The sequence below is a fragment of the Homo sapiens genome, chromosome 17 (genome assembly GCF_000001405.40).
Source record: "Homo sapiens chromosome 17, GRCh38.p14 Primary Assembly".
In the NCBI taxonomy this organism is placed as follows: Eukaryota; Metazoa; Chordata; class Mammalia; order Primates; family Hominidae; genus Homo; species Homo sapiens.
Genome location: NC_000017.11, coordinates 27,069,510 through 27,089,473, shown reverse-complemented (window position 1 = coordinate 27,089,473; position 19,964 = coordinate 27,069,510). Strand labels below are relative to the sequence as shown.

Below are 19,964 nucleotides of genomic sequence, written 5' to 3'. Positions count from 1 at the left end.
ATTGGATGAGAGAAAAACCTCTAGGCCTACTCTGATTGGACTTTATTTTCATGCTGTGATTGGTTGTGTTAAGACTTGCTCTCATCCAATCAGAACATGATCATAAAGTCCAATCAGAGTAAGCCTGGAGGTTTTTTCTCATCCAATCAAAACATGCAGTCCAGGAACCTCCGTGGGCATAGCCGCAGTATATAAATGATGCTGAAGAGCAGTCAGGTGTTTTCAGGTTCCTGTGTCTTCCCGTTGAGTTGCTCGCTCCACGGCATGGAGGACTAGGAATCAGGAGTCAGTGGCCGTATGCTGGAGGCTGGAGCCGCGGGAGCGCGGCTCGCCTCGCTGCGGTTGTTGGCAGCGACGGAGATAGGAGTGCGGCTGGAGCGGTAGGAGAAGGAAAACAGTTTTGGGATAGATGGAGGGGAGTAAAGAGGGTAGTTAGTGCCAAAGGCAGAAAAGGATAGCTTAGCCGGAGAAGGGGCGTTGCAAAAAGATGGCGGCGAAAAGATGGTGGGGAAAAAAGTTTTTGGGTAAATGGAGGCGGAAATACAGGGTGGGGAGCGGGAGGGAAGGAAGGTTTTGCAGAAAGACGGTGGGTAAAAAGTTTCAGGGTAGATGGAGGGGGAAAAGAGGGTGGCAAGTGGGAGGAGGAAAGAGAGGAAGGTGATGGGGGAAAAGGGGGGCGAGCAGTAGGGAGAGAAGGCTTTGTGAAAAGACAGTGGGGAGAAAATACAGTGTGGGGGAAAGTTTTTGGGTAGAGGAGCAAAAGAGGGTAGCAAGTGGGAGAAAGAAAAAGAGGGTAGCCAGCAGGAGGAAGACAAGGTTTTGTGAAAAGACAGTGGCAGAAAAGAAAGATGGTGGAGAAAGGAAAGACAGTGGGTAAAAAGTGTTTTGATAGATGGTGGGGGAAAGAGGGTGATGAGGAGGAGGAAAGAGGGTGGCCAGAGGGAGCAGGCACAGAGGATTGGGAAAACGACGGAAACATAGTTTGGTGTAGATGGAGGGCAAAAAAGAGGGTGGCAAGCAGGATAGGGAAAAGAAGAGCATGAGTGGTAAAGGGGGGAGACTTTGAAAAGATGGTGGGAAAAGTTTTGGGGGGTAGATGGAGAAGGAAGAGAGGGAGGTAGGCAGGAGTAGGGAGAAGGCTGTGTGAAAAGATGGGGGGAAATGTTTTTGGGTTGATGGAAAAGGGAAAGAGAATAGCAAGGAGGAACGGGGGGAAAGACGATGAAGAAAAGAGTTTTTGGGTAGATGAAGGGGGAAAAGAGGGTGGCGAGCAGTAGGAGTGGGGAGAAGGTTTTGGGAAAAGATGGGGGAAAATGTTTTTGCTTAGATGAAGGAGCAAAAGAGGGTGATGAGAGCAGGAGGGGGAAAAAGGGTGGCCAGGGATAAGGGGAAAAGATGGTGGGAAGAAACAGTGGGGAAGGGGTTTGGGTAAATGGATGGGGAAAAGGTGTTGAGCAGGAGAGTAGAGAAGGCTTTGTGAAATGATGGTGGGGAAAAAAATGGTGAAGAAGTTTGGGGGCAGATGGAAGAAAAAGGGTGGCGAGGGGAAGGGGGCCAAAGGTGCTCGGGAAAAGAAGGTAGGGAAATAATGGTGGGGGACAATGGTTTTGAGTAGATTTTTTAAATAAGATCATTTGTATTTTTGTTTTTGAATAGTCTGAGATCTTCATATATTTTGTGCATGAATCCCTTGCCTGATGCATAGTTTGCAAATACTTGCTTCCATTCTCTGGGTTGTTTCTTCATTTTTAAAAATTTTTAATTTAATTTAATTTTTTTTAGATGGAGTCTCATTCTGTCGCTCAGGTTGGAGTGCAGTGGCACAATCTCAGCTCACTGCAAGCTCTGCCTCCTGGGTTCACACCATTTTCCTGCCTTGGTCTCCTGAATAGCTGGGACTGCAGGTGCCTGCCACCACGCCCGGACAATTTTTTTGTATTTTTAGTAGAGACGGGGTTTCACTGTGTTAGCCAAGATGGTCTTGATCTCCTGGCCTTGTGATCGGCGTGCCTCAGCCTCCCAAAGTGCTGAGTGTACAGGCGTAAGCCACTGCACCCAGCCTGTTTCTTCATTCTACTGATTGCTTCCTGTGCTTTGCAGCAGCCTTTTTCTTTTTGAGACGGAGTCTCACTCTGTTGCCCAGGCTGGAATGCAGTGGCGTGGTGTTGGCTCACTGCAAGCTCCGACTCCTGGGTTCATGCCATTCTCCTGCCTCAGCCTCCTGAATAGCTGGGACTACAGGTGCACACTACCACGCCCAGCTAATTTGTTGTATTTTTAGTAGATACAGGGTTTTACCATGTTAGCCAGGATGGTCTCAATCTCCTGACATCGTGATCCGCCCATCTCGGCCTCCCAAAGTGCTAGGATTACAGGCATGAGCCACTGCACCCAGCCTGCAGAAGCTTTTAAGTTTAATGTAATTACATGTTTGCTGTTGTTTGTGCTTTTGATGTCTATTTGAAAATTCCTCGTCTTCTCCAGTTTCATGAAGCATTTATCCTATGTTTTCTTCTCTAGTAGTTTCATAGTTTCAGGTCCTACATTTAAATCTTTATTTTGAGTAGATGTTTGTATATGGTAAGATAACGGCCTAGATAGATTCTTGTACATGTGGGTGTTGGGTTTTCCTAGCACAGTTTATTGAAGATATTGTCCTTCCCAAATGTGTGTTCTTGGTGCCTTTGTTAAAAATAGGTTGACAATAAATGCATGAATTTATTCCTGATTTGTGTATTGTGCTTCACTTGTCTGTCATTTGTTCATCTCTGTCTCTCCCCCGCCCTTTTTATTGATAGTACCATGCTGTTTTGATAGTACCATGCGTACTATAGATTTGTAGTATATTTTGAAATCAGGTAGTGTGATGCTTCCAACTTTTCATTTTATTTCTTTTGTCTGTCTGAGTTATTTTGCATTTCCGTATGAATTTTAGGATGGTTTTTTCTATTTCTATTAAGAATGTCTTTTGTAATTTAAGATGGATTGCATTGATTCTGTAGATCCCATTGGTTGATATAGATATTTTAACAATATTCTTCTAGTGCATGGACATGGGATATCTTTCCATTTACTTATGTCTGCTTTAATATCTTTCATCTGTGTTTTATAGTTTTCATTGTGGTATCTTTTGCCTTCTTGGTTAAGTTTATCCCTAGATATATATTTTTTTGAAATGAAATAGCTTTCTTGATTTCTTTCTTAGGTATTTCGCTATTGGTGCATGGGCATGCTACTCATTTTTATATGTTGATACTGTATCTTGCAACTTGACTAAATTTATTATTTCTAGTAGGATTTTTGTGGAATTTTTAGGGTTCTCTCTCTCTCTAGATATGTATAAGTTTATGTCACCTGCAAACACGAAATTTGACTTCCTTTTTTTCCAATTTGGATGCTTTTTATTGCACTCTCTTGTCTAATTGCTGTAGCTAGGACTTGCAGTACTATGATGAATGAAAGTGGTGTAAAAGTAGCCATACTTGTTCCAGATCTTGGAGGAAGAGCTTTTAACTTTTCTCCATTGATTATGATGTTAGCTGTGGGTTTGTCATATATGGCCTTTATTGCACTGAGACATGTTCCTTCTGTACTCATGTTGAGTTTCTATGAAGAAATGATTTTTTTTTCAGCATCTACTTAAATGATTTATGTGTTTTCTTGATTCACTGAATGTGATGTTACACATTTATTTGTGTTTATTGAATCATCCTCATATTCCCGGGATGAATCTCACTTGATCATGGCACATGATCATTTTATTGTGTTGTCAAATGCAATTTTCAAGTATTTTGTTGAGGACTTTTTGCATCTGTGTTCATCAGGGTTATTTAAAATGCCTGTGGTTGTCTTTGTGTGTTGTGTCCTGCTCTGGTTTTTGTACCAGGGTCATGCTGTCCTCATAGAACAAGTTTCGAAGCCTTCTCTCCTGTTCATTTTATGGGGAACATTTTGAGTAGAATTGGTATTAGCTCTTTAAAAAATGCTTGGTAACTCAGCAGTAAAACCATGATTCTTGTGTTTTTCTTTGCTGGGAGACTTTTTATTACTGCTTTAATTGCATTACTCATTATTGGTCTGTTCAGGTTTTTTGTTTATCATTCTATCTTGGGAATTCATTATGTGTCTAGAAATTGAAGCACTTCTAGATTTTTCAGTTTGTATATAAACGTCTTTAGTAATCATTTACAATCCTTTGTATTTTTGTGTTTAATTGTAATGTTTGCTTTTTCATCTATGGTTTTGTTTCTTTTTCTTATCCTTAGTCTAGCTAAAGCTTGTCAATTTTGATTTTTTTTTTCTAAATCACCCCAGCTCTTTGTTCCATTGACTTTTTGTATGTTTTGTTTCTGTTTTTAAAATTTCCGCCCTAATCTTTATGATATTTTTTCTACTGATTCTAGCATTTGAATTTTTTTTGTTTTTCTCATTACTGGAGGTGTACTGTCAGGTTGGCTATTTGAGATGTTTCTACTTTTCTGATGAAGGCATTTATAGCTATGCCCTTTTCCTCTTAGAACTGCCTTTGCTGCATCCCACAGGATTTGTTATGTTGTGTTTCTATTCTTGTTTCAATAAACATTTAATTTCCTTTTTTTCCATTGGTTGTTCATGACCCTGTATTTTAATTTCCATATATTTGTACAGGTTTTAAAGTTTCTCCTGTTACTGATTTCTAACACTATTCTACTGTGGTTAGAAAAGATACTTGATATGAATTCAGTTTTTGAAATTGTGCTGAGACTTGTTTTTTGGCCTAACACATAGTCTGTGTTGGAGAATAATTCATGTGCTACTGAACTAATGATGTCTGTCTGGATGATCTGTCCATTGACAATAGTGGGGTGTTGATTATAGTGGAGTGTTGAGGTATTCTATTGTATTGCATTCCATCTATCCTTTAAGGCCTGTGAATATTTGCTTCTGTATTTAGATGCTTCAGTGTTGGTTGCATATTCATTTATAATTGTTAGGCTGCTGTTTACTTTTTTCTCATTATACAATTATCTTTTTTTAATCTTAAAGTCTATTTTGTCTAAGTATTATAGCTACTCCTGCTTTTTTGTTTCCATTTGCATAGGATATCTTTTATCATCCCTTCACTTTCAGTCTATGTATGTCTTCATAGATGAACTGAGTTTCTTGTAGGCAAGAAACTGCTTGACACATCTGTGCACTGCTGCTCCAACCAGAGGAGTTGCTGGCTCACCAAGAGTCAGCCTTGCTCCCAAACCGGTTTGTTAATTGTAACTGGTATTTACTATTGTGATAATATTACATCATCCATAATTGATGAAACAGGAATGAAAAAAAAACAGGAAATAGTTGTCATTAAGAAGTTGAATGTTGTTTCCACCTACAAGCGCCCTTCCTCTGCTGCACGCTCGGGCTCCTGGTCCCCATTTCTTGGTTCCGGGGGTGAGAGTATGACCACAATGGCGGCTGCCACCTTGCTGCGCGCGACGCCTCACTTCAGCGGTCTCGCTGCCGGCCGGACCTTCCTGCTGCAGGGTCTGCTGCTGCTGCTGAAAGCCCTGGCATTGCCTCTCTTGTGCCACGGCCTGGCTGTGGGGGCCAAGAAGACTTAACGTGTGTGAGAAGCCACATGTGAATGTGGGTACCATCGGCCATGTGGACCATGGCAAGACCAAACTGATTGCAGCTATCACAAAGATTCTAGCCGAGGGAGGTGGGGCTAAGTTCAAGAAGTACAAGGAGATTGACAATGCCCCCAGAGGAGCAAGCTCCAGGTATCACCATCAGTGTGGCTCATGTGGAGTATAGCACTGTCGCCCACCACTATGCCCACACAGACAGCCCGGGTCATGCAGATTATGTTAAGTATATGATCACGGGCACCACACCCCTTGACGGCTGCCTCCTGGTGGTAGCAGCCAATGACAGCCCCATGCCCTAGACCCGAGAGCACTTATTACTGGCCAAATAGATTGGGGTGGAGCATGTGGTGGTGTATGTGAACAAGGCTGATGCTGTCCAGGACTCTGAGATGGTGGAGCTGGTGGAACTGGAGATTCAGGAGCTGTTCACTGAGTTTGGCTATAAAGGGGAGGAGACCCCAGTCATTGTAGGCTCTACTGTCTGCCCTTGAGGGTCGGGACCCTGAGTTAGGTCTGAAGTCTGTGCAGAAGCTACTGGATGCTGTGGACACTTACATCCCAGTGCCTGCCCGTGACCTGGAGAAGCCTTTCCTGCTGACTGTAGAGGCAGTGTACTCCATGTCTGGCCATGGCACCATGGTGACAGGTATGCTAGAGCATGACATTTTAAAGAAAGGAGACAAGCGTGAGCTCCTAGGACATAATAAGAACATCTGCACTGTGCTGACAGGCATTGAGATGTTCCACAAGAGCCTGGAGAGGGCCGAGGCTGGAGATAACCTCAGGGCCCTGGTCCGAGGGAGGACTTGTGGCGGGGTCTGGTCATGGTCAAGCCGGGTTCCATCAAGCCCCACCAGAAGGTGGAGGCCCAGGTTTACATCCTCAGCAAGGAGGAAGGTGGCCACCACAAGCCCTTTGTGTCCTACTTCATGCCAGTCATGTTCTCCCTGACTTGGGACATGGCCTGTTGGATTATCCTGCCCCCAGAGAAGTAGCTTGCCATGCCCGGGGAGAACCTGAAGTTCAACCTAATCTTGCGGCAGCCAGTGATCTTAGAGAAAGGCCAGTGCTTCACCCTGAGAGATGGCAACTGGATTATTGGCACCGGTCTAGTCACCAACACGCTGGCCATGACTGAGGAGGAGAAGAACATCAAGTGGGGTTGAGTGTGCAAACCTCTGCTCAGCTTCCCTTGCGTTTAAGGTCTGCCCTAGCCAGAACTCCCTCCTGCTTCCAGTGCCCCCTCATGGAATAGGCTGCAACCCAGCAGAGGGCAGGTAGAAGGACATTTCCCCTGGTCGGAAAGGTTGGCCTGCCTGGCCGGGGAGGTGCCGGGGAGGTCAGTAAACTTCTGTGAATAGTAAAAAAACAAACAAACAAACAAAAAACAAGAAAAGAAATTGAATGTTTTAGAAAGACTCAATGAAGTGAGTCTGTAAGAAACTGGTTTTCATCAGGTGTGGGATTGAGAGTCTGTTCCATTCACCCCTTCCTTTCCCACCCTCCATGGGAGAGCCTTACTGGGCAACCCCAAGGGCAGGAGCAGAATCTAAGCAGCAGGCTCCCTGGCACCTCTCACCTACGGTCTGTGCCTTCCCATGTTCTACCATTTCTTCTAAACAGGCATGCAAGTGAGTGGAGAGGCAGAGGCAAGGCTTTTTAGATAGGATTTATTTCCTTCACTGACTCAACAAGAGTCAACAGGAGAGGCAGAATGCCTGCAGTATACAAGAAGTTCTCAGACACTATAGGCTCCAACTTACATCTTAACCCAGAGCTAAAACTGTTTCTTTGATTCTCTCCCTTTATTCCATTTGGTGTCTCCCTTGGGGTAGTTTCTCACTGAAGAGGATGGTATTAAGCTGGTCTGTTTGCTTTCATTCTCTTGAACCTTTGGTTTGTCATCTAGGGAGAGGATGTTTTTCCTGTTTTTCTCTTTTTTAATTTTCTTTCTTATTTTTTTCTTTGAGACATGGTCTTGCTCCATTGCCGAAGCTGGAGTGCAGTGGTGCAATCACAGCTCACTGCAGCCTGGACCTCCCAGGCTCAAGTGATGCTTCCATCTCAGCCTCCAATAGCTGGGACCACAGGTACACACCACCACACCTGGATAATTATTTTATTTATTTGTAGAAACGGGTCTGGCTATGTTGCCCAGGCTGGTCTTTAACTCCTAGGCTCAAGCTATCCTCCCTCCTCTGCTTACCCAGTATTACAGAGATTCAGGTGTGAGCCACTGTGCCTGGCCTGTTTTTCTTATAAATAGTATTTAGACTAATGTATTTAACTTTTAATATTGAAATGTGCCATATTTGACTGAAGTTGAGAGTACACTATAATAAGCCCTGTGTCCTCATCACTCAGCTTCAACCAGTGTCCACTCCTGGCCAATCTTCTGTTTGTCCTTTTCACTTCTGCCCCTCCACAGAGCCATAAGCAAAAGGCCTTGGGCCTTAAAGATCGGTGAGTAAAGGTCATTTACAAGTTTTAAGTTAAAAATGTTGAAGATGTGAAATTATTGTTTTAAAAATGGTTACCCACTTTAACGAGGTTTCATTTGAGGAACCAATAGATACAGGTCCCAGTTGTCTCAGATTAGTAGACTGAATTTTAAAGCTGGCAGCATTTTCAGTACTAATTTGATGGTGTGACATTGCATTTCGTCCAGCTAGTAAGCCATGCTTCAGGTGGAAAGACTCCTCTTAAACATAGTGAGCAGCGTGATTATGAAAATAAACACTGAAAGTTTTATCCATAAGCTTCAATTTAAGGCATATTCTTTGCAATATAAGTTAGTAAACCAATTACTATCATAGAGATACTGTTTATTTTAGATTGAGAAAGAGCTAAGGGGAAATGTATTGCTATTTCAAAACAAATTTTATATATATACACAAATATATATATATATATATATATATATATATATATATATATATATACACACATATATATATGAAATGGAATCTCGCTTTGTCGCCCAGGCTGGATTGCAGTGATATGATCTCAGTTCATTGCAACCTCTGCCTCCCAGGTTCAAGTGACTCTCCTGCCTTGGCCTCCCGAGTAGCTGGGACTACAGGTGCGTGCCATCATGCCCGGCTAATTTTTTGTATTTTTAGTAGATACAGGGTTTCACCATGTTAGCCAGGATGGTCTTGATCTCCTGACCTTGTGATCTGCCCACCTTCGTCTCCCAAAGTGCTGGGATTACAGGCATGAGCCACTGCACCTGGCCTAAAATAGAAAAGATATTTAACTTCTGTGCTTTATTCCTCCAGAGACTGATTAAGATCTTTGAATGGAAAATCCACAGAAACAGATTTTAGTTCAATGTGTATCATTAGTATATTAACATAATTTCATTTGCCATTTTTGGAGTTGTGGCTTTAAACCAGAGAACAACATAGATGTATTTAACTCTATTATTTCATCTGGCCATCGCTGTAAACCTTCAGGTACGTATTATTATTCTCATCTTACAGATGAAGAAACTGATGTTCAAAGAGTTTCAAGGTCACTTACTGAGCTGATAAGAGCTCCTGCGTCTTACTACACAATTATTAAACTGTTGTACTGTACTCAGTTACTTCAAATTAAAATTAGAATTAGTCATTTCAAATTGTAATTAGGAATGTTTAAACTTGACTCAATACAAGCTTTTCAAAAAAAAAGAAAAACACTTGGCAGGCTAAACCACATTTTCCTGCTGATAACTATTTGACCTTCTCTTGGACCCTGGTCCACATGCATTTTGAATGTTTGATTTGGGGGTTCAAGCCACCTTCCCTGAAAGTCACACTGAAGCTCTTATTTTAGAAGTGGGAGGTTATCATCCACTCAGCCTCCTTAATGGCTTTTACGTTACAAAAAGCATGTTTATAATTTCAATGGAAAAAGCATATATATAATTTACCGGTGAAAAAATGCTTTGAGATGCTGATTTGGGATGCTGTCTCACGGCAGATAGTCGTTACCTGTATACTACTAACTCAGTTGGAAGAGGAGTAAGCAAATTGGGGTCTGGATTACGTGATACTCTCAGGTCAGTTGCCTGGAACTTCCTAAATGATTTAGATGGAACATTTTCCTCCTTACGTAAATCTCTGTGAAGAAGAGACTGGGGGGTACATTCCAACTCCCCATAGACGAGTAACTAAATAACAAGTCTGAACTAACTCAAATAATTCCAGTCTTCTCTTACTGCCACCTCTCCCATCTTGTTTTGTTAAGCATTCTAGCTTTATTTTGGCTCTGAAGACTTTGGTAGCCCTAAGATCATTGTTTCCAGCCAGAAAGTCCTCTGTGATCAGGATCTTTATAACTATCAGTGATTTCTCCCTGTTGATTAAGTCTACATAAGTCTCTTTGAACTTGGATTTGACATTAGATTAGCAAGTGATTTTCAGCTGGGATATAAGATCTATAAATTGCTGACAAAAGAAACTACAGTTTGACAGCCTTGTCTAAATTTAGGTCTTTTCCCCCAACTTTTTGTTGGTGAATTTCAATAACCCCTCATGTGCTAAGTTAGGATCTGTCATGGACCTTCATATTTTTTACTTGTTTTTCCCTCTCCCTCTTCTCAGCTTTCCCTCTTGACTTTCTTTGGCTGTCTTTTTTCCTTCTTTCCATATTCATTAAATAACTTTGAGTTAGCCTTTGCATTGGATATAATGCAAAGGATATATAAAGATGAATAAGACAATTTTTGTCCTTTAAACAAAATTAATGATCTTAAATTCATTTACTAAAGAAATTTCAGGAAGTGCTGTTTCTGTAGATCTTTGCTTTAATAAGTGTTAGATACAACACATATACATAATGATTCAAAGTGTTTAGCAAATACTTTTTCCTATTCAAAAGTAATTTGAATTAACAAGAAATTTTTCATCTGTTGGATGGCCATTCATATTTATTCTATTGCCCATTGTATGAACTTTTATATTTTTGCCATATAATTTGTGTACATTATTCTTAGAGATATGTATCCGTCTTATTTTCATCAGGAAGCCTAGTGAATTCTCATGTCAGGCATAATAGCATTAACGAGAGCTTGATAGGATTAATGAAACTTATATATTTGTGTCTCTAATGGAGATTTCCTCCCTTTTAATGCCCAGATGTGCCAGGTGGTGCCAGTGCCAGCTAATCACCTCCCTGTTGGCAGCACCGTGAACACTGTGCACCTGTCTTCAGATGGCACTTAAAGCAGAGAAGCCTGCTGTGTGGCTGTGGGAGTCATCAGAGAGGTGGCAGTGGAGGTGAGAAATGGCAAGACCCTTGAGCTACGTTGAAGGTAGAGCCAGTAGGATTTGCTGGCAGATTGGCTATGGGGTGCAGGAGGGAGAGGAGGGGTCAGGGATGCTGAGGAGAAGACAGGTGGAGCAAATTGGGGTAGGGACTAGGGAGGAAATGAGGAGTTCATTGTTAGGTGTGTGAAGCTTTAAATATATATTAGCCTTCCCACTGGAGGTGTTGAGCAGGCAGTGGGTATGCATGAAGATTTCCAGGAAAAGGTCTGGCCTAGAAACAATAACATAGGATTCATCATGTACAGACAAGCTTCAAGGCCATGGGACTGGAGGAGCTCACCCAGAGAGTGAAAACAGATGGGGGAAAAGTCCAAGAACCAGGCCTTCCACATCAAGTTGAAAAGAAAGAACCAGCCAGTGAAACTGAGAACAAGTGGCCAGGGAGGTAGGTAGGAAGAAAACCAGGAGAGTCATATCCTGGAGCCAGTGAAGACAGTATTTTAAGGGGATTGATCTTACTCATGCTACCAATGGCCAAGTAGATGAGGACTGAGTTCAGCAACACAGGCCACTGTGGACTCTGGGTCACTTCAACATCAGATGAGTCCCTTCTATCTACTTGGGGACCTTGCTAGGCATTCTGATGTATAGTGTGGATAAGTCAAAGTTCCTTGTGGGACTTACCAGCCGACGAGAAATGAGTGATGGTTTAAAGAGTTCTATTTAATATTGGTCATGGTTCTATAATTTGAGACCTACAGCAAGTCAACTGGATAAAAGAATGTTTGCTTTTGTTGTTCATTGTTTTCTACTTGTTTTTAAGAGCAAAATAATCTAACACATGCATTTAAGTTATCTGACAAATCTGAGTTTTCTGTTCAAGTTTTTTTTTTTTCCTGTTTTCCAGCCAGCTTTGGGCACAGTATATTTTGGGTAATCTCCGGGCAGAAATAGAAAGTATTAAGCTCCATGGCGATATGTTATTGGGTGTAATTTTCTCTGAGTTGAGATTTTGTTTTATCTTTCCCAGATACTTACCCTACATTTTTTTGTTTCTTCCTCCTCTTCTTTTCTTTCTTTTCTTTTTTTTTCAAATATTCTCTTTTATTTACTTTGTCACCCAGGCTGAAGTGCAGTGGTGCAATCTTGGCTTATTGCAGCCTTGAGCCCCAGGGCTCATGCAAGTCTCCTGCCTCAGGCCCTCAAGTAGGTGGGACTGCAGGTGCATGCCACTACACCTGGCTCATTTTTGTATTTTTTGTAGCAGTGGGATTTCACCATGTTGCCCAGGCTGGTCTCAAACTCCTAAGCTCAAGCCATCTGCCAGCCTCAGCCTCCCCAAAGTGTGCTAGGATTACAGGCATGAGCCACCATACCTGGCCCCTTTTTTCTTTGGTTCCAATGTTTATCTGTCTCATTTCTTACAGGGTCATGATAAAAGGAAGGGGTCTTTCAGAATTTCTGCCTCCTTAAATTCCTGGCCCTTGTGCAGTACCATGTCATGGTATTAGCAGTGTTTAAGAATGGTTTCAAGGATCACTATTGACATAACTGTCTATATTAATAGAATATGTGTTGAACCATTGGCACATTGCCAATAACATTCCAAACACAAATGAAATTCTGTTGCAAATTCTCTGCCTGTTTGCACTTTATAAGAGTAATGCTCATGTTATTTCTGAGAATCCATGTTGTTAGTGTTTCTTGCTCATCCATCATCTCATAGCCAGTTATGATTAAGTTACCCACACCTTTGGTATGGGCATCAGAACTCTTGTATTTGATGCACCTTCACTTATTAAGAGAAACTCAGTGGTGCTGGGTCTGCCAATTTCACTTTGAGGTGATGCAGTTGTTGGTGTTCATGTACACATTCATTTCGGCAAAGTTAGCATGTGGCTTTTCTGCTGTTTGTTGATTTTATGTTTTTCAAATATTCTCTTTTATTTACTTTTAGGTTTGTTATCGACCCAATCATTACATCGCTACCCAAGGTAAGTTTATTTCTGCTTTGATGTCTTTTTTTGTTTCTTTTGCCCACTTCCTATCATTTTGTACCCACTTCACCCTCCCTCAGGAAGACACTGCACTTTTATTGCAATTCTAGCCATCAACAAGTACACTTCTGTCTTCCCATCAGATGTTTTGGTCATGTAATTGTTTAGTTAGAACTTCATGTTGAGATTATTAGGAGAAATGTGCCCATCAATTCTTTATTGAATTCAATCTGTCTACCTTAGAAGTAAGTCTGACATTTGCAAAAGTAGATACATAGATAGCCATTCAGTCAATATGCACCAGCTACTCTCTACACAGGGAACTGTGCTGGTGGCTGCTGGGGAGCCAGGCTGAATCTGGCAAGCACCCCCTTCTTGCAGTGGTTGTGTTTAGTGGGGAAGATGTGCAGTCACCTATATGTACTTTAGTAGGTACAGTGCCCGGTGACATCTGTGAGAGGAACAGATACAGATAAAATGTTAGGGAAATTTGGAGTAGGAAGGGGTTGCTTTGAGGTGGGATGACCCAAAACCAGTTTTGTGGCAGAGGTGAGATTGGAAAGAGGCCTTCTGAATGGAGAAACATCATGAACGAAGATCTGGGAGCAGGAAATTAGTACTCCCAGGTGGAGAGCAGCTGACAGGTCACCTTGGCTAAAGGAAACAGGAGAAAGCCACAGGAAATGTTGAGGAAGCTCATGTCAATGGTTTTTGGGTGATTTTCCCAACCTATGAAGTGGGTCATCTGCAGAGGGTGGGGGTCATGAGGGAGCTGAGGTTTTAGCGAATGAGGCATCCTAAGGGATGAGTTAGTGAGTCAATATGGGATGAACTGAAGGAGTAAGAAGCAGATAACACCCAGTTAAGGCTGACTAGCACACGTTCTTCCCATTCTATTATTTTTATCATTATTTCCAGCAATAGGCTACATCCCAGGAACAGTCGCAGGAAAGTCAAAAGGATGTGACCTGCCAAAGGTTAGGCATGGAGCGAGGGGTGTGTACACAAAGTCAGTGACCAAGGGAATCAAGGATGCCAAGGTAATTGGGGTAGGAAAGTCCAGGCTTGGAAGAAGGGCAATCAGAGGTGTCCACTGGATGATGAGGAGAGGGAAGGAGCTAACATAGTGAGGCTGGGCCCCGCTGCTGAGTCGTAATTTAGGAGAAAAGGCCTTTGTGGCCAGAGAGCAGAATTCCAACACTTGGATCTGCCCATGTACTGAAACTTTCTGCAGTGGTGGGAATAATCTCTGCGCTGTGCAATATCGTAGCTACAAGTCATATGTGACTCCTGCATACTTGAAATACAGCTATTACAAGTGAGGAACTGAATTTTAATATTGATAGAAATAGCTATATTTGGTTATTCCCTGTGGTAGCATTGGACAGCAAAGCTTTGGGGTGGAAAAGCTCCAGCTGTGGCTGAAATGGAGCCACTGTGGAAGCTGATCCAGTCCCATGCCCACAGCTGCCCCAGGAACCTGGGTGACATCACACAGAGTCAGCAGTCTCACATCACCACTAGGGTACTCTGCACTCCGGTCTAGATGACCTGCTGGAGCCCCCATTGTCTTTCCTCGTGTATGACATGAAGTTGGTAATGGCTCCTTCCAAGGTCACTTTGCTAGCCAGATGCAAAGTCGTCTGTAGACTTTCCAGTGTGAACCTGGCACAAAGCAGGCCCCATTACATAGGGTTTGCTGAGGTCTTCAGGAAGCCAGGCTCAGCTTGAGCTCTTACACGTGGGACAGAACAAGGACACATGTCAGAGTCCAGTTCTAGACACCTCCCAACCCTGCTGCTACCAAATGGAATTCATCAATCTTTAGAGGAACCTGTTGTTATGGGTTTGAAATTCATCCTAATGGCTTTCCAAATGTTCTAAACTAAGTGTCATAACATGAGATTTAATACATTTTATGATAATTTGAAATTAAGTTTTTGTAAATTCATGAGAAAATTCAATTGTAAAATACCCAAAATACTCCCGAGCTTATCTTCCCAATAACTTGATTAGCAACCTATATTTTCATAGATAGCAAGAACATTAAGTTGCTCCTACTTGTATTTTCAATATTGAGGACCTCTAGATTAACGGGACTAAACAGACCGCTAAAGTAGAGACTGAAATTGCCAAAGTCTAGACATGGCCCCTCACCAGGCTACCTTCCCTTTGTCTGTTCTCTCTGCTCCTCTCCCCCTGCAGGAGATTATTCTTTAAAGAGAAATGCCATTAGAGAAGTCACTTTCTGCAGAATTAGTGTGACTGATACTTAATAGCTCAGTAACCCTCTCAGGTAGCATTCTAGTGTTAATGAGCAAATGTATTTGTAAGCAGATAAGAAATGGCAAATGTCATCAGTTTGCAGTAGACAACCGGTCTGCCCTTAATGGAGAAGGGCACTGGCTAATGCCCTGTTTACCAGGTCATGGCAGCCTTTCCCTGGTACAAGATGGGCTGCAGATTGGACTTCTCAAACTGGTAGGACTAACATCACTGCTGGTGGTGGTGCAGGGAGAGGAGGGAAAATGAATGAATATTTTTCATCTACCATGCAGTCAAGACTATACATACCATATTAAGAATAATACATTCAGACCATGATGTTCCAGTGAGAAAGCTAGAATCTTCTATTATATACCACAAGCATAATGGACTAATAGCCTTTCATCACCAGTAATCAAGATCACTGATAATCTGCACTAAGTGGCATGGACAGGTAGAATATGTTCAAGGATCACTTTCATTGAAAAACAAACAGAAAAAACATTAACACCTTCAAGAGGCCAAGAAAATGGGTGATGAAGACCAACAGGCAGATGCAATCTTTAAATGTCTTCTTGCCCTATTTTTTCTCTGTTTTGCACTAATACAGTTCTTTAAAGTATATTCACAACAGGAACCTATGAAACTATGTAAATGGTCTACTATGTTGACAACTAATTTTATTTCCAAAAGTTAGTAACGCACAGTTGTTCACCAAGTTCCTTTGATACAGAGGACATACTATAAATTTACGTATTGGGTCTCTTCCTCCCATCCACCCTTAATTTTATTGATTTTTCTAGCAGTAACTGACTATGACCTTTGATAATAATGGGTGATGTTTCTGCAAATTGAAGGCATCCCATTTAAGCCAGATCTGTTCCTTTTTTGGTATTAATATGTTCTTCCTGTCTCTCCTCAGTTTGTTTTCTCTCTGGCCATTAATATATGATGACCTGATATTAACTTCATGTTGTCTGAATGACCAGACATTAGTACAATGGTAACATTCAAGATTTATGATTTAGCAAACAAGGGGCTCAAAGGAGAGGAAGTTGTATCTGCTGTTGCATGTTTGTAGTTAGAGATAGGGCAGAGTGGAGATTTCAAAAGTAGGTTAAAGTGAAAGGCAGAAGAGCATGCAGGTGGGTGGGATTCCCCAGAAGTGATAATATTTTGCAATCAAAATACAACCTTGGAGACTACTCAGGCTGCAAGCTGGATGAAGGCACTCACACATTACTGACTGGAGAGAACACCGGCTGGCCTCATGGTGGCAGCCATGGGGGCCCTGGATAAGTGTTCTTTTGATTTTTATTTGGTTTTGGTTTTGTTTAGAGACACGATCTCACTCTGTCACCCACACTGGAGTGCAGTTACTGGGATCATAGCTCTCTGAAGCATCGAACCCCTGGGCTCATGTAATTCTCCCACCTCAGCCTCCAAAGCAGCTAGGAACACAGTTGCACACCACCACGCCTGGCTAATATATTTTATTTTGTTTTTTGTAGAGTTGGAAACTTCCTGTGTTGCCCACGCTGGTCTCAAACTCCTGGACTCATGGGATCCTCCCACCTTGGCCTCCCAAAGCAGTGGTATTACAGGCATGAGCCATTGCACTGGGCTCCTGTTTAGTTTTAATTTTAAAACACCTCAAGAGTCAGATAATTCAGGGAAAGACCATGCAAGGCTGTTACTGAAGAAAGTGCTACGAGTCTGTTCTAGACATGGCTTGCCTAGCACTGAGCATCCTTCCTCACTTCTAAGTGAGAATTTTCCAGATCTGTGCATTGGGGTCCCCCAAGAAAGAGGCTCAGTCCTGATGTACTGTTTCCTGTATACTGCATGCTCACCCCCCAAAACCACATGGTTAATCCAGATCCAGCCCCTGCTTTCTTAGTTATGAGGCTTCTCATGGCAAAGCAATAAAAAGCAAGTTTTCAATGATAAAGTCATGTCTGAAAACATGTTAATTGTCATCATCTTTGATGTTGTAACCTGAGCTATAGATTGTTGGGATGCACACGTTACTCTTTTAAGCTTATGTGCCTTGATTCTGTCTACATCATTTCTTTCTTTCTGAACTGTGAACTGCGCTAATTTGATGGGGTTTGCTACCTGATTGGGGTCCTGACCTTAGCCTTCATCTTGCCATATACAGTTTGTTTTTGTCTCCATCAGCGTTAGCTCTGTTCAACGCCCTTGTGGAGTCCAGGACTTAGAGAGAGGATCTCCAAGCAGAAGCCCCCAGCCCACGTGAGAACAGGGAGACCCTTGTGCCCTTAACTGTTTTCCATAGTACTGCCCAGCCTTGTACACTCTGGCCCAAATGTTCCTCACCTTTGGAAGACACAGAACTTCTTTCAAAACCATTGAAATATCGAGATCATTTCCGCAGAAAGAAAATGTAATTTAAGGTAATTCGTGGACTTACCCCCACCCCCCCAATTTTATTCATGAATCATAGTAATTCTAGGGACCTCAGGTTACAAACTTCACTTTGGTCAGAAACATTAAAAGCTATTTTGGGATAAGACAGAAACCATAGGTTAAATCTTTTTTTTTTTTAAACATACTTCTTAGGGGTTAACAAAATGTCATAGATTGTTTATAACTATATGAAATACGTTCCTGAAAGCATCAAAATCTTTATTAATGAACTAGTACTAAAATGCTTACTAGCCTAACCTTGTACTAAAAGACCCTGGAGTATTGTTATAATCATTAGTATTTTGAACCATGGTCAGTTTGGGTTTTACTCTTCATTTCAGGCTTGGTTTCTGCTTATATGTTATTTTGCATTTGTGCCTCGAAAGTTTATGCCTTTGCTCACTTCTCAACAACTTTAGCATTTACAATATATTAGAAAATGCTATCAATGACCAGAGACTAGAGTAGCAGGTCCCATAGCTGATGTTTATTTTGTAAAAGCAGGATGTAGTAGAAATAACACATGTACCACAGCGAGAAGGCTGGGGTCGAAATTCTTGTGCTGTAGCAGAAAAGGTATTTGAACCTCCTAAACTTATTTAAGGTAGAGTCCTGGTGTTTGGCAAATAGTAATAATAGTCAGGACCTTACCATGTGCCAGACAGCATTCCCAGAACTCACACATACAGAGCTCATTTCATCTTTACCACAAATATGGGGGATGTATGTGATTGTCCACAATTTATAAATGAGAGGAAGGGAGCAGAGAGACTTGAAATAACATGTTTGAATCACAGACCTAAAAGTGCAAAGGCCAGATTCAAGTGCAGCCACTGAACTCCAGCATCAAAGCTCCTCCCCACCTCACTATACTGCCTCCCATGGGTGACCTCGGGGGTTACATTAACTCATGTATGTATCAGTGCTTAGAGCAATTCCTGGCATGGAGCAAATGCCATGTATGTATGAGCTGTTACTATTTTTGAGAAACAGCACAGCATAGCTTAATGATCAGGAACATGGACTATAGAACTACATTGTCTGAACTCAACCCCCAATGCTGGTTCCTCCATCAGTAACTTGTGTGACCTTGGACAAATTACTTGTCATCTCTGTGATCATCATAAATGAAGATGAAAATAGTCTACCTTGTAGGGTTATTGTACAGATTAAGTAAGATAATATTCCTAAAGCACTTAAGGCACTTTTTTTTTTGGAGGGGGCTTTTTATTTTTTAACTTTTAGGTTCAGGGGTACATGTACATGTTTGTTACACAGAAAAAATGCATGTCATGAGGGTTTGGTGTACAGATTATTTTGTCACCCAGATAATAAGCATAGTACCTGATAAGGCAGTTTTTTAATCCTCTCCTTCCTCCCACCTCCCACCCTCAAGTAGGCCCCAGTGTCTGTTGCTGCCTTCTTTGTGCCCATGTGTTCTCAATGTTTTAACTCTTACTACTAAGTGAGAAAGTACAATATGTGATTTTCTGATCTTACAATTATTTGCTTAGGATAATGGTCTCCAGCTTTATCCATGTTGCTGCAAAGGACATGATCTCATTCTTTTTTATGGCTGCATAGTATTCCATGGTGTATGTGTACTACATTTTCTTTATCCAGTCTGCTGTTCATGGCCATTTTGGTTGATTCTATATCTTTGCCAATGTGAGTAGTGCTGTGATTAACACACATGTATGTAACTGAATCATGCATGAATCATGTAGAATGATTTATTTTCCTTTGGGTATACAGCCAGTAATGGGATTGCTAGGTCAAATGGTACTTCTGTTGTAAGTTCTTTGATAAACACCCACACTGCTTTCCACAATGGCTGAACTAATTTACATTTTCACCAGCACTCTGTAAGCATTGCATCATCTTCATGACCTCTCCAGCATCTGTTATTTTTTCTTTTTTGTAATAGCCATTCTGATTGGTGTGAGATGTTGGGGCTATTTGGTTTTTGCTTAATTTAAGTTCCTTATAGACTGGATGTTAGACCTTTGTTGGATGCATAATTTGAAAAGATTTTCTCCCAATCTGTAGGTTTGTCTGTTTATTGTCTTGTTAGTTTTTCTTGTGCAGAAGCTCTTTGATTAGATCTTATTTGTCAATTTTTGTATTTGTTGCAGTTGATTTTGGCATCTGAGGAGGTGTATGATCTCTACAATAAGAACTGCAAAAACACTGCTCAAAGAAATCAGAGATGATACAAACAGTGAAAAAATATCCCATGCTCATGGATAGGAAGAAGCAATATTATTTAAATGGCCATGCTACTCAAAGCAATTTACAGATTCAGTGCTATCCCTATCAAACTACCAATGACATTCTTCACGGAATTAGAAAAAACTATTTTAAAATTCATACAGAACCATAAAAGCCCAAATAGCCAA

At 41.6% G+C, this 19,964-nt stretch overlaps 1 long non-coding RNA gene and 1 pseudogene across 1 annotated transcript; both read left to right on the top strand.

Moving 5' to 3' along the window:
• Positions 1–232: 232 nt before the first annotated feature.
• On the top strand, positions 233–17,086 carry LOC105371703 (uncharacterized). The gene is made up of 4 exons (NR_135673.1): positions 233–380; positions 10,742–10,882; positions 12,831–12,867; positions 16,647–17,086. It is a non-coding gene; the product is annotated as an uncharacterized LOC105371703 (long non-coding RNA).
• TUFMP1 (Tu translation elongation factor, mitochondrial pseudogene 1) lies at positions 5,351–6,982 on the top strand (annotated as a pseudogene).
• Positions 17,087–19,964: the final 2,878 nt, after the last annotated feature.